Source organism: Homo sapiens, chromosome 13 (genome assembly GCF_000001405.40).
Source record: "Homo sapiens chromosome 13, GRCh38.p14 Primary Assembly".
Taxonomy (NCBI): domain Eukaryota; kingdom Metazoa; phylum Chordata; class Mammalia; order Primates; family Hominidae; genus Homo; species Homo sapiens.
Window position 1 is genome coordinate 83,820,948 of NC_000013.11, and position 13,515 is coordinate 83,834,462.

Below are 13,515 nucleotides of genomic sequence, written 5' to 3' on the forward strand. Positions count from 1 at the left end.
AGAGGCTTTCTGGAGTCCAATTTGAGATTACTTATGTAGTCAATCATTATTCTTGCTGCACTTAGGTAATTAATCATGTCAAACTGGATAAAATTAAACTTTTACAAACAAATTTGTCTTACCAATTATCTTTGGCAAAAATCAGGTAGAGAAACATATTATTTTCTAAAGAAAACTATAATATACCTGTTATAAGATTGTAGCCCTGTGCATTGATTTTTGCATTTTTATTTTCTACTTGTAGACCAGACTAAATCTTGAGTTCTAGTTTCCTTCCATATGCTTGTTTTCTATGTAATTACCAAGAAAAAATTGCTTTTTTCTAAAGCACCTTAAGCTGAAGCTGGACAATTTAATATAAATTTCAAGGAATAAGCTTCATACAGATGCCATAACCAGAGACGTTCAAACTGAAAACCACAATGAGAAATTGATGGCTTCATGTTGTGGAAAACTGTCCCTAAAACAATGGAACAAGATTTCCATTTTAATGAGGTTCTTGCCCTATTAAATTTTCCTTGTTTATACCTACCATTTTTACTTGGCAGAATAATGGTGTAGTTAAAATTTCACAATCAGTAGGTTCTGTAGGCTAAACACTGGTTAAATAAGGAAATTTATGTACTATTGCTAATGCTACATGATATATCTGGATAAATTTGTCTGAAGACATTGAGACCCCAAAACATAAGATAAGAAAACAAGACACATACTTACAGCAGGTCTCATCTAGCTCACCATGGTCATTTAATGTATTCAGTTGGTGGCCTTTAAGCCAAAATTCATGGCTCAAAACTATTATACATGGCTTGTGCCTATAATCCCAGCACTTTGGGAGGCCAAGGTGGGCAGATCATGAGGTCAGGAGATCAAGACCCTCCTTGCTAACATGGTGAAACCCCATCTCTACTAAAAATACAAACATTAGCCAGGCTGATGGTGGGCACCTGTAGTCCCAGCTACTTGGGAGGCTGAGGCAGGAGAATCACTTGAGCATGGGAGATGGAGGTTGCAGTGAGCCGAGATCATGCCATTGCATTCCAGCCCAGGCGACAGAGCGAGACTCCGTCTCAACAACAACAACAACAACAACAACAACAACAACAACAACTATTATACAAGCTCCATTATTATATTACTATTAATTTTACTTTGTATTTTCCTTTCTAAATATTGTAACTATTTCTGCAGAACTACAACTTATAACAGAATAATGGTGTGCTAGGACTTTGAGATGATAGTCAATGCCTATGGAAGAGACAAAATTGAACTTAACAATGGATTCCGACTAGTCTCAGCCTAAGACTTAATCCCTTTAAATCCCCTTTATTGCTGAAATCTGGCCAAAAAGCTCTTAACACTGACTCCTAGTTGCCAATCACTTTCCTCCAATGTGGTACCAGACCAACAACCAGGACAGGTCCATCCCTGCACCAAAAGACAATCGAAACCTAAACATAAGATGTTTGATCAGCAGTGCTTCCAGTGAAAGGTCTTGCTCAAAAGTGGGAAATGTGAAATATGTCAAAATTAAAACAAAGTCATTTGTGTCAAACTCTGACAAAATGGAGCCAGGGAAGGCCATAAAGGGAGGGTATCATACATGATTGCCTGGTAACAAGAACTATCACAAAAGACTGGCAAAACTACAACCTTGCACAAAGGCCACCACAACTTTACACAAAAAATACTTCTGTGATGACATCCACCCAGCAACCGCCTCTTCAACCTTGTATGGACACAACCCTTGTTATTGATTCTTGTAGCGAAAGATAATTGTTTCAAAATAATTTATGTAACTTAAATATTTTATGCAAAATACAAAATTACACAAAATAATTTATGTAATTTTAAAATCTTCATTTTCCTCTGTCTCCCTGAATATGCCTGTAGTTGACTGTGGCACTATATTCCACATTGCAGGGTTCACTCTCAAATTAACTCATTATCTCTGATGATCATTTTTCTGTTATTATTTTACACTGACAAGAAATACCATCCAAATAATAAGTCAGAAATGCATATGCCATTATAGCTTTGAGGTATATGACTCATTCCCAAAAATATGGCCTTAACTTTCCTACTAAGTGTACCTCAGACTTGTCACAGAAACAGAATAATGATAAAATCACTTTATTCAGAATGTATGAGTGTTTTATTTTTGTTACATAGTATATCAAAAACACTCAGTTAAGCAGTGACTAGGAAGTCATAAGAAAAGAGAGAGTCCCAGTCACCTCCAGTGATTTTTAAACTGTATTGCGTTTGGGATTCTAAGAGTCCCACTACTGTGACCCCATGACTCTCACGAGAGTCACAGCTTGGGGAGACCCTATTACTGATATTAGTTGGAGGTATTCCCAGTTATTTAAAAAAGAAAAGAAAAGTTAAAAACTCCTAATCTCAAGAATAATGACTGTGTACTAGAGTAAAAACAGAAGATTCTCCTAAGGCATCTATCATGCTCATATATTTGATGGCAGCAGTGGCCCATCTGGAGTGGCCACTGCGAAGACACTGGCTGCAGCAGGGGAGTGCAGCTGGGGCTGCAAGTGAGCTGGCGGGAGCCAGGGAGGTGGGAGCCCCACCCCCTTCCAAGTTGCCTGGGCAGGAGCTCTGCCTTTCCCAGCACAGCTGCAGCTGCCCAGCCATTGTGGACCTGGGCATCCCTCCACTCTCGGGGGCCTGGAAAGCCTCCCCCACCCCTACCCCCACAAACTCAGAAGTGCTTGCTCTTGCTGCCTGGCCTCTCCCTGCTCTCAGGGCCCTCTCTAATTTTGGAACAAAGTTGTGGCCAAGCCCAGGCACTGTCACGACCTGGCCGGGTGTGGGCACACTCATGGTGGTGCTGACACAGCAGCCCCCTGCTGACTCGGCCCACTCCAGACTTTGGACACTGACAAGCACAGGAGGAGGGCTGAGGGAGTGCTGAGGGCCACTTGGTGTGGGCCTGCAAGCACCCCTAGGCACAAACAGCCTAGATGCTGCGGATGAAATGTAGATGGCAGCAGGAGGCAGACAGCCTCCTGGGTGGAAAGGGGTGTGTCCCCAGTGAAGCCCCACCTTCAAGCCAGGGACAACCTGAAGCCTAGTGGCCGAACTGTCAGTTCCAGGTGGAGTCTGTGCCCGGAGTGAGAACTTATGGTGCTTTTTCCTGGCCTGTGCATGGTCACCCATGAACCCATCAGCACATACATTCTGAGCTCATAAAAACCCTGGACTCAGCCAGACTCAGGCAGATGTCAGGATGACATGGCTGCAGATAGGAGCTACCCACTGTGGATCTCATCCCTGCTGAGAGTTGTAGTCATCAGGATGACCTGCTTGCAGAAAGGAGCTGCCCACTTCAGCTCTCCTGAGAGCTGTAATGTGGCTCAATAAGGCACTTCTTCATCTTGCTCACTCTCCAGTTGTCCATGTACCTCATTCTTCCTAGATGTGGGACAAGAACTCAAGACCCACAGAATGGTGGGATTGAAAGAGCTGGTAACACAAATGGCTCAAACATGCCCCCTCTCTCCACATTGTGGGAAACAAGAAGGAGAGAAGAAAGGAGAGAAGAGCTGCAGCCCTTCAGGGAGCCTAGACCTAGGACCTCCCCAAGCCAGTGCTGTGACACCCACTTTAGGGCTCTGCAGTTCCTGGCATCTCCAAGCTTCCAGGCACCACTGTGTTCCCCGGTGCCTGCAGTGGAAGCCACTTGCAGGACACTTGGTCCAGCTGCAGCCTTGCAGGAAGCCGACGCCCATGCCAGTGCCTGGAGCTGCCTGCCCCACCACAGCTGCTTGCCTGGTTGTGTGCAGTGGCCAGACTCTGCGCTCGCTCTCTTACACACCCCTTGTCACTCTGCCCCAGGCTCACCTTTGGCAGCATGAGATCCAGGCCAGTAGCATGAGCTGAGCACAGCCTGCTAGGCTGAGCGGGCAGAACGAGGCCAGTGAGCAAAACTTGGGCAAAGACGCCACTGGCCATAGAGGTTCCCAACTGTAAAAGCAACACCTGAAGGATCCTGTGACATATTTTCTTTTGTGTCTGGAGGAACTGGCTTTTTTAGACATTGAAATTGACAAAGAAATACATTTTAAGAATAAATATGTGCAAAATTATGAATAACAAAACAAATCAAACAAACAAAAAGACAAAGAACTACTAAGTGTGCTAAGGAATTCCACATGGTGAAGTATAAAGTTCTGGGTTTAATAAGATTTGGCTTTAAGCAGGTCTTTTATATGTTGTCCCAGCTTTGCTTTTGCTGAAACCATCTTAATTAAGTCATTAGAGAGAAGTAACTCTTTGTGGTAACTGAATATTTACATGCTTTTACATTTGTAAGAAGTTTCCAACACTGAACAAATAGTTAAGAAAAGTTAAGAGATTTACAAGATTTTTGTCCTACAGGAAGTGAAAACCTAAGGCCTTACTATATTGTTGGGGGAAAGCACTGCTTTGAAAGCTGAGCTATTTGCAGCAATAGAAAGCCATGTTACAAACATTAGGTAAATTAATAGGAATCTTTTCTGAAAATATTTGAGGAAATAGCTTCTGGCATCCAATGTTGCTTTAAAACAAAAAAATAAAATCATTCTAGGCATTATCTATACAACAAGTTTTGTAGAAAAAATAACCCGTCTAGGATTTAGCAGCATTAGTGATACAAAATAACTGTTAAAATGTATGTAAAGTGTTCCAACAATATTAATGAGAAAATCATTACAGTAAGTAAAATATCTTGATTCCAAATAGTTAAAAGTGTTGCTGTGTTAAAAATAATGTTAAAAGCTTTTTGCATTCCAAGTGCAAAAAGCTATACCTTGTATTAATTAACCTAAATATTCTTTGTCAGGCTTAGTATCACAGCACTGAGGGCTGCCAGACCCATAACTGTGTGAAAGTCCTGAATTTTTGCCAGTTCTGGATGCAGTCTCATTAGCATATTCATAAGTCACAGCCTTGTGCAGGTGCCAGAAAGCTGCAAAATGTTTTGTGACTATTTGTTGCAGCAATAGAGGGAGATAGTAAATTAGTCTTAAAAAAAAAAACCTTTTATATAAAACATAACATTTAATGCTGTAGAATAACTGCAAAGGCTTTTTGGTAATTACTCCATATCAAATGAAGCAATACTTTTTTCATGACTAATGTAAATAATAGGAATCCAGAGCAAAGGAAATATAATAGTGCTTTTCTTATAGTAGATGAATTAGAAATAAATTTGAGTTTTGTTAAGTGATCAACTTTTTCTAGGTAGACTATTTCATGTTCAAGAGACAGAGTTGAAAATTTATATTCTTCATTAACATTGAATTCTTAATAGTTTATTTTTTAAATACCTTGAGTCCACTAAATAAAATGCTAGAAAATACTTTTTAAAAAATATAAGTACTACTCAATATTCAATCCCTTTTCAAATGAGTATGTGCACACACACACCTCCCATACACTTTTTAATCAGATGATTGATTAGAAAATTGTCTTACTTCCTTTATCCATTTACTTCAGAAAAGATGCTGTCACAATAAAATAAAATCATTGTACCATAAGTGGCCTGAGAGGTTTTAGAACCGTTCCATGTTTCCGGAGTTTAAAAGAAAAGCCTACATACACTCATACATTTTCTGTTCTGTTGCATTTATAGAATCAGTGTCTTACATACTCTGACTCAAACCTAAATAAAAAGATTTGTTTTATTTTGGTTTTTATTTTTACAGAATAAAGATGTAAGGAATGAAATCTGTCATTTTAGTTAACTCTAATATTTCAATCCCAAAATATAGCATTGTTACAATATTGCTGTAACAAACATATATAATAAAAGTTTTCATCTTTAACATCTTGTGTATGTCTGCTTGTCTTTATGAGATATATATGCCTCAAACACATGGACATGTGTATACATACACACACACACACCTATGTGACACCATTTTCATTTTTGTACTGTAAGAAATAAGTTTCCAGCTTGAAGGCGCATGTAAAAAACTTATATTTGTATGAATATAAGTATATGAATAGAATGAAATGAAAGATATATTAGGATCATAATTGAAAATATTATGATTTTTGTTTAGATTTCAGTTAAATTTAGTACACATTTTAGTTTGTAATGGACATTTGTATAATCTGCAAAGATTTCAGAAATTAAAAGGAAAAACATCAAGGGTGAGATCGATAGGCCTCATTTTTCTTTTTGTTATAGGCATATTGCAGCTTTATTCTTTGTGTTTTACTTAGTTCAGTTTATTTCAGCAAATATCTATTAGAGACTTTCCTATGTGCAAAACACTGTTAAATTCTGTGGAAATAAAATTACAAAACCCATTCTCTAAAGGAGCTTTACAGTGTAGTGAGGGAGACAAATAATTAGCAAATTTTAAAATAATACAGAACACACTGTGATATAGTTATGCCAGGGGAGCAATTACCTTTATTCTCACCTTTCCCAGTAATAAAGTAGCTTCTGAATTTGAAATGTTATGCCAGAAGATTAAGACTTCAGGAAGACAAAAACCAGCAAGGTAATTTGATCTTTCCACCTTCAAGTTTGAGTCATGGACTGCAGAAGACTACAATCAGACAGGGCAACATTTTAAAATAAATGTCAGTAACAGCTGTGGATTTTCTACTGGCAATAAGCCAAGTAGGTGTGAAAGGCAGAAAAATTTGTGCACCTCAAGGTGCATGATCTTCAGAGTTATAATTTGTTATGCTCAGATAACTGAGGCACTGATGGAAAAGGATTCATTTTTATAACAGTACTTGGAAATTTTTCAAATTGATGGAATATTTCCCTTTCTAATCTAATTCTATTTAGCTGTCCATTGTTTGCTGCATTTTTGAAATGAAAGCAAAATAGAAACACATTAGCAATATTCTCTGACTCTTTTAATAGTCTCTTTCCATCTGTTTCTGGTCTCAGAAATAGCCATCATAAAATTCATACCTCACACTCTTGTCAATTTCATATTAGTTTTCCGATGAGAAAAGTAAATAATTTCTTATACTGTAACTGCTTTGTGTTCTTTTTAATTGGACAAAGTATATGGGGATCTTCTGATTTGTCTCTTTTGTGTGTTTCTCTGACACACATACACACACATGCACATACACAGCTTTGACAGAAAAATATTAAAAGCAAGAGGTCACTAACTGTGTAATCAACATGACATATTTGATCAGTCAAGAGGTACTACATAGAACTTAAATGCCCAATCTGGTATTTGGATTTTGGTTATAATCACAGATTACTTATTTTCTTGATTTTGTATATGTCTGTTGTCAGGACTTAAGAAATGAGACCCAGCCACAAGCTACAAGACGTACATCTGAAGAATTTTGTCTACTTAAATTACAGGCATTCTTCCTTGAAAAAAAATTCTGATGGACAGAACAATACATTTATGATCAGAATTTAGATAAAAAGTAAATGTTCCACTTTAATACTGAGTTATCTCTTTGGATGAATATAATTTTATTCCTTGTCTCAGTGGTCATTGCAATAGGCAGTATCAAGACAAGTCTACTGAATGGGCTATCATTTATGCATTATAATGTAGTTTGGATATAAGATGCTAACATTCATTTTGGTTTAAAAGCTGTCTATAGCACATAAACGAATTTTTTCCTCAATTAATTATGTCTTGTCTTGACCTTTTAAACAGACTCAAAATTGCACAACCATATTTCAAGGCCATCTTTTTTTAAATATACACTTCCTGCTTTAAAAAATTCAAGTTTAAAGTGTTAATTTATCATTATCTATTCTCTTTGTGTTTTGGAGAAAACAACTTTTTAATTCTCCCTTAGAAAACAGCACATTAATTCAGGAGTCTCCCTATGAAATATCTTATCATAGTCTAAACTTCTTTATGAGTAATATAAATGCAAAACACGAACCTGCCACATCTCATTGATTCTCTTTCTTATTTCTCTTGACCTCTATGTGCTTCAGTATGTGCTGCCACAAATCAAAAATTCCTAGAGCAAAACTTTTCTGCAAGAGTAAAATAAAATGAACAAAAAGGAGGAAGCCCATTTTTAGGTCATATCTTAGGTATACTGTTTTTCTCTACAGAAAATGCACACATATTTTTTTCTCTGATTGTATATTAGTGTTATCAAAAATTGCCCCTAAAATCAGAGCTAAACTACTATAGATGTCTTTTAAATCTTTTTCTGAATTGTGTGCTATGCTTCAGTGACAAATCAGTCATTTTGTTGACTCTGGTTTGACAAGCTTTGGAGAAACTAGAGCATTCTTTTAGGATTCAGAGTGAAGATAGTGACTGACTGATTAAGTTATTTGCTCTTCAGAGATCTGCACTGAAGATACCTTTTACTTAAAGTAGATTGTTTTGTTGTTTTGCCTTTATGACCAAGGCAAGCCCTAGAATAGACAGTCACTTCGGTTTTTTCCTAAATAGCATAATTTTTTATCTAAAACATCAATTCACATGTCCTTATAATAAATATCGAAAGCCATTGGAAATTAGATTCTTATTAAAAGCAAAAATGAATATTGAGCATTGATGAGAAGTAAATGCGTCCCTTCCACTACTACCTCCAAGAAAGTATTTCTTCATGCATTCATCAAACATATACTGAGCATCTATTTGTTCCTATCTCAGTACAATACCCAGGAATTAAACGATAATAGAGCAGACTGTTAAGAGGGCAGAAGGTAAATAAATAATTCAATTATAATTATTAGAAAAAAGTATAATAAAATATTATAAATGAGAGCAGAAATTATATACTTTTATACTAGCTACTTTCTATGCACCAAGAACTACACAGACCGCACTGTAATCTGCACATATTTCATTGAATCATCAATACATCTCGGTAATATCAATATGATTATTTTGATGATTTAGAAGAAACAATTGAGGATGAGAGAACTTTAGAAAATTGAAATATGGTTCTTGACTATCAGGTGATAGAATCCAAATTGAGTTACTCCAAACCTCATATGTTTTTTTCATTATACTTGAAAGCTAAGTAAGCCTGGAATGTTCACAAAGGACTTGGCAGAAAAGACGACGTGTGATCCAAGACTTGAGGATAACCAGGATTTTCCTATATGGTTAAGGTGTTAAAGGACATTCCAGGCCATGGGAACAGCTTATGCAACAAAAGCAAGTGCTATATTTAAGGATCTGTGAGTTATGTGTAGTTCTGGCTGTGTTTGAAGTGAATTTCTGAAGGGAACTGTAGTGTAAGAAGTTGGCAGGAAATGTCAGAGATGGTTGAGGTTGTTGTTTTGTTATAAGAATGACAGTGGAAAAACATATTTTTATTAGGAACTTACAAAGAAATACAGATCAAGATTGGGGGAGGGGGGCAAGAAGCATACTGTAAGTTATCTGACCATTAAAGTTGGATGGAATTAGGGCAGCAACAGAAAGGAAGGCATGGTACAGAAAAATAAAAACATGTTTTTATTTTTGTTTTTGTTTGTTTGAGAGTTTGAGAAGCACTGATTGGGCTGATTTAGTTCCTGATTTTGTATGAGTGTTGAAGGAAAGGAGAGAATGAAGATACTCAGGCTCCTACGTTTGGGACTGCATAAATCTTGCAGCCATATCATAATGTGAATTTTTTTTTTCTTTTTTTGAGATGGAGCCTGGCTCTGTCGCCAAGGCTGGAGTACAGTGGCGCGATCTCGGCTCACTGCAAGCTACGCCCCCCGGGTTCAAGCGATTCTCCTGCCTCAGCCTGACCAGTAGTGGGAATTACAGGCGCCCATCACGCCCGGCTAATTTTTTTTTTTTTTTTTTGTATTTTTTTAGTAGAGATGGAGTTTCACCATGTTGGCCAGGATGGTCTCTATCTCCTGACCTCGTGATCTGCCCGCCTCGGCCTCCCAAAGTGCTGGGATTACAGGTGTAATCCCATGCCTGGCCACCACGCCTGGCCACACAATATGAATTTTTAAAAGAGGTAAAAGGAGGTTAAAATTATTAAATCATTTTGCGCCATGCTTTATGTTTGATTACATAAAGCACCTGTAAAGTGAAACAACAACAACAACAACAAAAGAAACTAGACCCTGAAGAGCAAAATGTTTAAGCTGTGAGTAGGGGAGGAGAAACTATCAAAAGAATAATTTAAAAAAGGCAGGGAGAGACAAGAAGAAATTTCTTAGAAGTGAAGCATAAAAATATTTTCCAATAGGAATGGTCAACAACATCACATACTATTAGAGTGTCAAAAGAATGAGAAGCAACATAGGCCATCTGATTTAGCAAAATATGGTAAATGCTTCCGTAAGATTATGGAAAAGTCTTAAATGTGGTGAACATGGTTAAGAAGTAGGATGAAACCAGTACCTTCATAATACATGCTGGAAAGTACATCAGATTTGTGAAAATAAAGGCAGATAAGGTGGTCTATTATATTAAATAATTTGCATAGCAAAAGGAAAAAGCTAATAGGTGAGAAGGCTTAGGGGAAAGTGCAATAACATAGAAAGATTTTCACTGTTTGTGGTCTTTTATGCTGAGAAAGATTTAAATACTTTTGTACTCTGTAGAGAAGAAACCAGAGGATGAGATAGAGTAGAAAGTAAGGAGGAAGAAAGGAAATGAGAGAGAAAGGGAAGGAGATAAGGGAAGAAAAGAAGGAGGAAGGGAGAGCGAGAGAAAGAGAGAGAGAGAGACTGATGCTATGTGAGAGACATTAAGCTAAGAATTAAACTCTCAGATAAGGCATTGTGGGATGGCATCCAGAGGCAAATGGAGATGATCCTGGAAAGAAAAGTAAACGAGGGAAATTTCTTGTTCTAAACCCAGAGGAAAGAAACATAAATATTGTAGCTTTATTTTCTCTCTTGTTTGAAAGATGGTCATCTGCAGAGGTAAAATGACCTGCAGACCGAGTAGGAGTTTGTGAAACTGTGAATGGCATATGCAGTCATTGGGATGAGTGAAAGAGGAGGAACCAGGGACAAATATGGCATTCCCTTATAAACAATTCAGGTGAAATTAGAGAGTATAAGTTCCTTTGGTATTCACCCTTGGGCACAGATCAAATGGTTTGTCTTTGTTGGCTCAGGGATAGTTACCTTGAACATGAAATACGAGTTGAACAGGAACCAGACTAAGCTGCTGAAGGAAAAGGTAACATTTTTCTCCCTACTCAATTAGTAATCAAAATGAATCCACATAATATAAGTAGTTTATCTCCACATGGTTTTCATGATATCCTTCGATGTATTCATGAAGAATTTAGCATCTATCAATTTCATTTTAGATGGGAGATTATCTCTTAATTTTAACTCCTGAATATTTTTTACCTCATCTATGTGCACATTCCCCCTTCCTGATGAGCCACATCGGGCTTCTTGATTTTTTACTTTCCGTTTTTAGGACTTTGTCTAAAATCTTCTTCACACACATTCTGCTCCTTCTCTTCACCTTTTACTTTTCTGCTCATCCGTCACTTCTACCAAGTAGCTTTCCTGAAGCATCCAAGTTGAAGCTGTTCAACATTCTTGAATATGCTCACACCTCACCTGTGTCACATTCTAGCTTCTTACCCAATTTTATTTACTTTATATTATTCTCTGAAATCATGTTATTATATACTAAACCAAGTTCATTATTTTGCTTTTTTATTGGCATGAAAGTTAACTTCATAAATGGAAGGATTTTGGACAACTTATTCACTAATATCTGTAGTCCCTAAAATAGTGCCTGACAAATAATATGGCTCAAAATATTGCTAATGAAAAACTGAATGGATTGGAGAAACAGAAATTGCCTGAGAATGTACTTCTGGCCTGACTGTGCAATCAGCTGCATCACAAAGAAACAAAGAAGAAGAAAGAGGAACAGGAGCTAGAGCAGGAGGAGGAACAATGATTAATTACAGATTGCTGTTTCAGGCATGTCCTTTGGGCAATTTTTATGCATACACAGAGAAAAACAATCTCCAATACTATTCTGTAAAAGTATTAGAAAGAAGACAAGTAGGTTAAAAACAGTTATACTGGAGTGATAGATCAATTTGCATCTTGTGAACCTCAGTATTTTTGTAGATTATTTTTTAAAATTTAGTAAAACAAATATGTTATCAAAAGTTTCAATAAAAACTTTATGTGGTTTTACTTTGATGTCGAGTAAATATCTGACTTTATTGACTTCTAACTTTCCAAGATATTCAAATTTAATTAATTATAAGACATTTAAATTTAATGAAATATCACCATTAACTTTTTAGAGGAGATACTATAGAAATTCCAAATTATATTCATAAAATAAGTTGTTATCTGTTCATTGCAGAAAATTGTTTTCTAAATATTATTAATTTATTCAATTGAAAATGAGCTATGTTAAGAATAGATCAAAAATTTGGCTTAGTAGACTACAACAAAATATAAAAGCTACTTTGCTATAATAATTTAATAAAATTTACTTTCTTATCCCTTTTGATACTGTCAGGCCTCTGAGCCCAAGCCAAGCCATTGCATCCCCTGTGACTTGCACGTATAAGCCCAGATGGCCTGAAGTAACTGAAGAATCACAAAAGAAGTGAATATGCCCTGCCCCACCTTAACTGATGACATTCCACCACAAAAGTGTAAATGGCCGGTCCTTGCCTTAAGTGATGACATTACTTTGTGAAAGTCCTTTCCCTGGCTCATCCTGGCTCAAAAAGCACCCCCACTGAGCACCTTGCGACCCCCACTCCTGCCCGCCAGAGAACAAACCCCCTTTGACTGTAATTTTCCTTTACCTACCCAAATCCTATAAAACGGCCCCACCCTTATCTCCCTTTGCTGACTCTCTTTTCGGACTCAGCCCACCTGCACCCAGGTGAAATAAACAGCCATGGTGCTCACACAAAGCCTGTTTGGTGGTCTCTTCACACGGACGCGCATGAAAGATACCCCCATAATACAAACATTCTACATAAAAATATGAATACAGCTTTGTTTTGTCCTTTAACAAACTTGAACTATTCTGCATGGAATTGCAGAAGTACAGCATATAAATTCTGGCAAGTTCTTGAAATTTGGAAATAACATGAAACCATGAAGATTTTCCTAATGTGGTGAAAAGAACACTTCAGCCAAAATAAGATCACATTTGGCAGTCACTTTACAGAAGAAAAGAGCTCTTGAAAAAGGTCTGCAACGCACTTTCTATGAAACAGGTAGGTATTTGGTTCAATATTAGTTCTGCGTATATTCCATATTGCATATCATTCTCTAGCTGTTCGAAGTTAAAAGTAAAATCTCTTTTATCCCATATTTTGAACTGAGTTTACCTGGGACAAGCTAACACGTCCATTTTAAATATACTGTATTTTCTAATTTTCTTGTACCACAAGTCTTTTTGTTTGGTTTGTTTCCTGTAAATCTGTTTTTCTAAAAATACATCCAAAAATACAGGTTTTTTAATATAAATACATTATAAAACAAAACATAAACAACAAATACAGAATTTACTTAGGTCACAGTACTAAGAAATGTTGTTAACTCAGGACAATGGGCACTGCATTTAGTCTTAAATT

General features: G+C 36.9%; 1 annotated feature.

The window, feature by feature from the left end:
- Positions 12,306-12,895: an enhancer, noted in NCBI's record as "OCT4-NANOG hESC enhancer chr13:84407388-84407977 (GRCh37/hg19 assembly coordinates)". NCBI's record gives its function as "activates a minimal SCP1, AML or CMV promoter by ChIP-STARR-seq in naive H9 embryonic stem cells {active_cell/tissue: H9 hESC(naive)}" and the evidence as "EXISTENCE:reporter gene assay evidence [ECO:0000049][PMID:30033119]".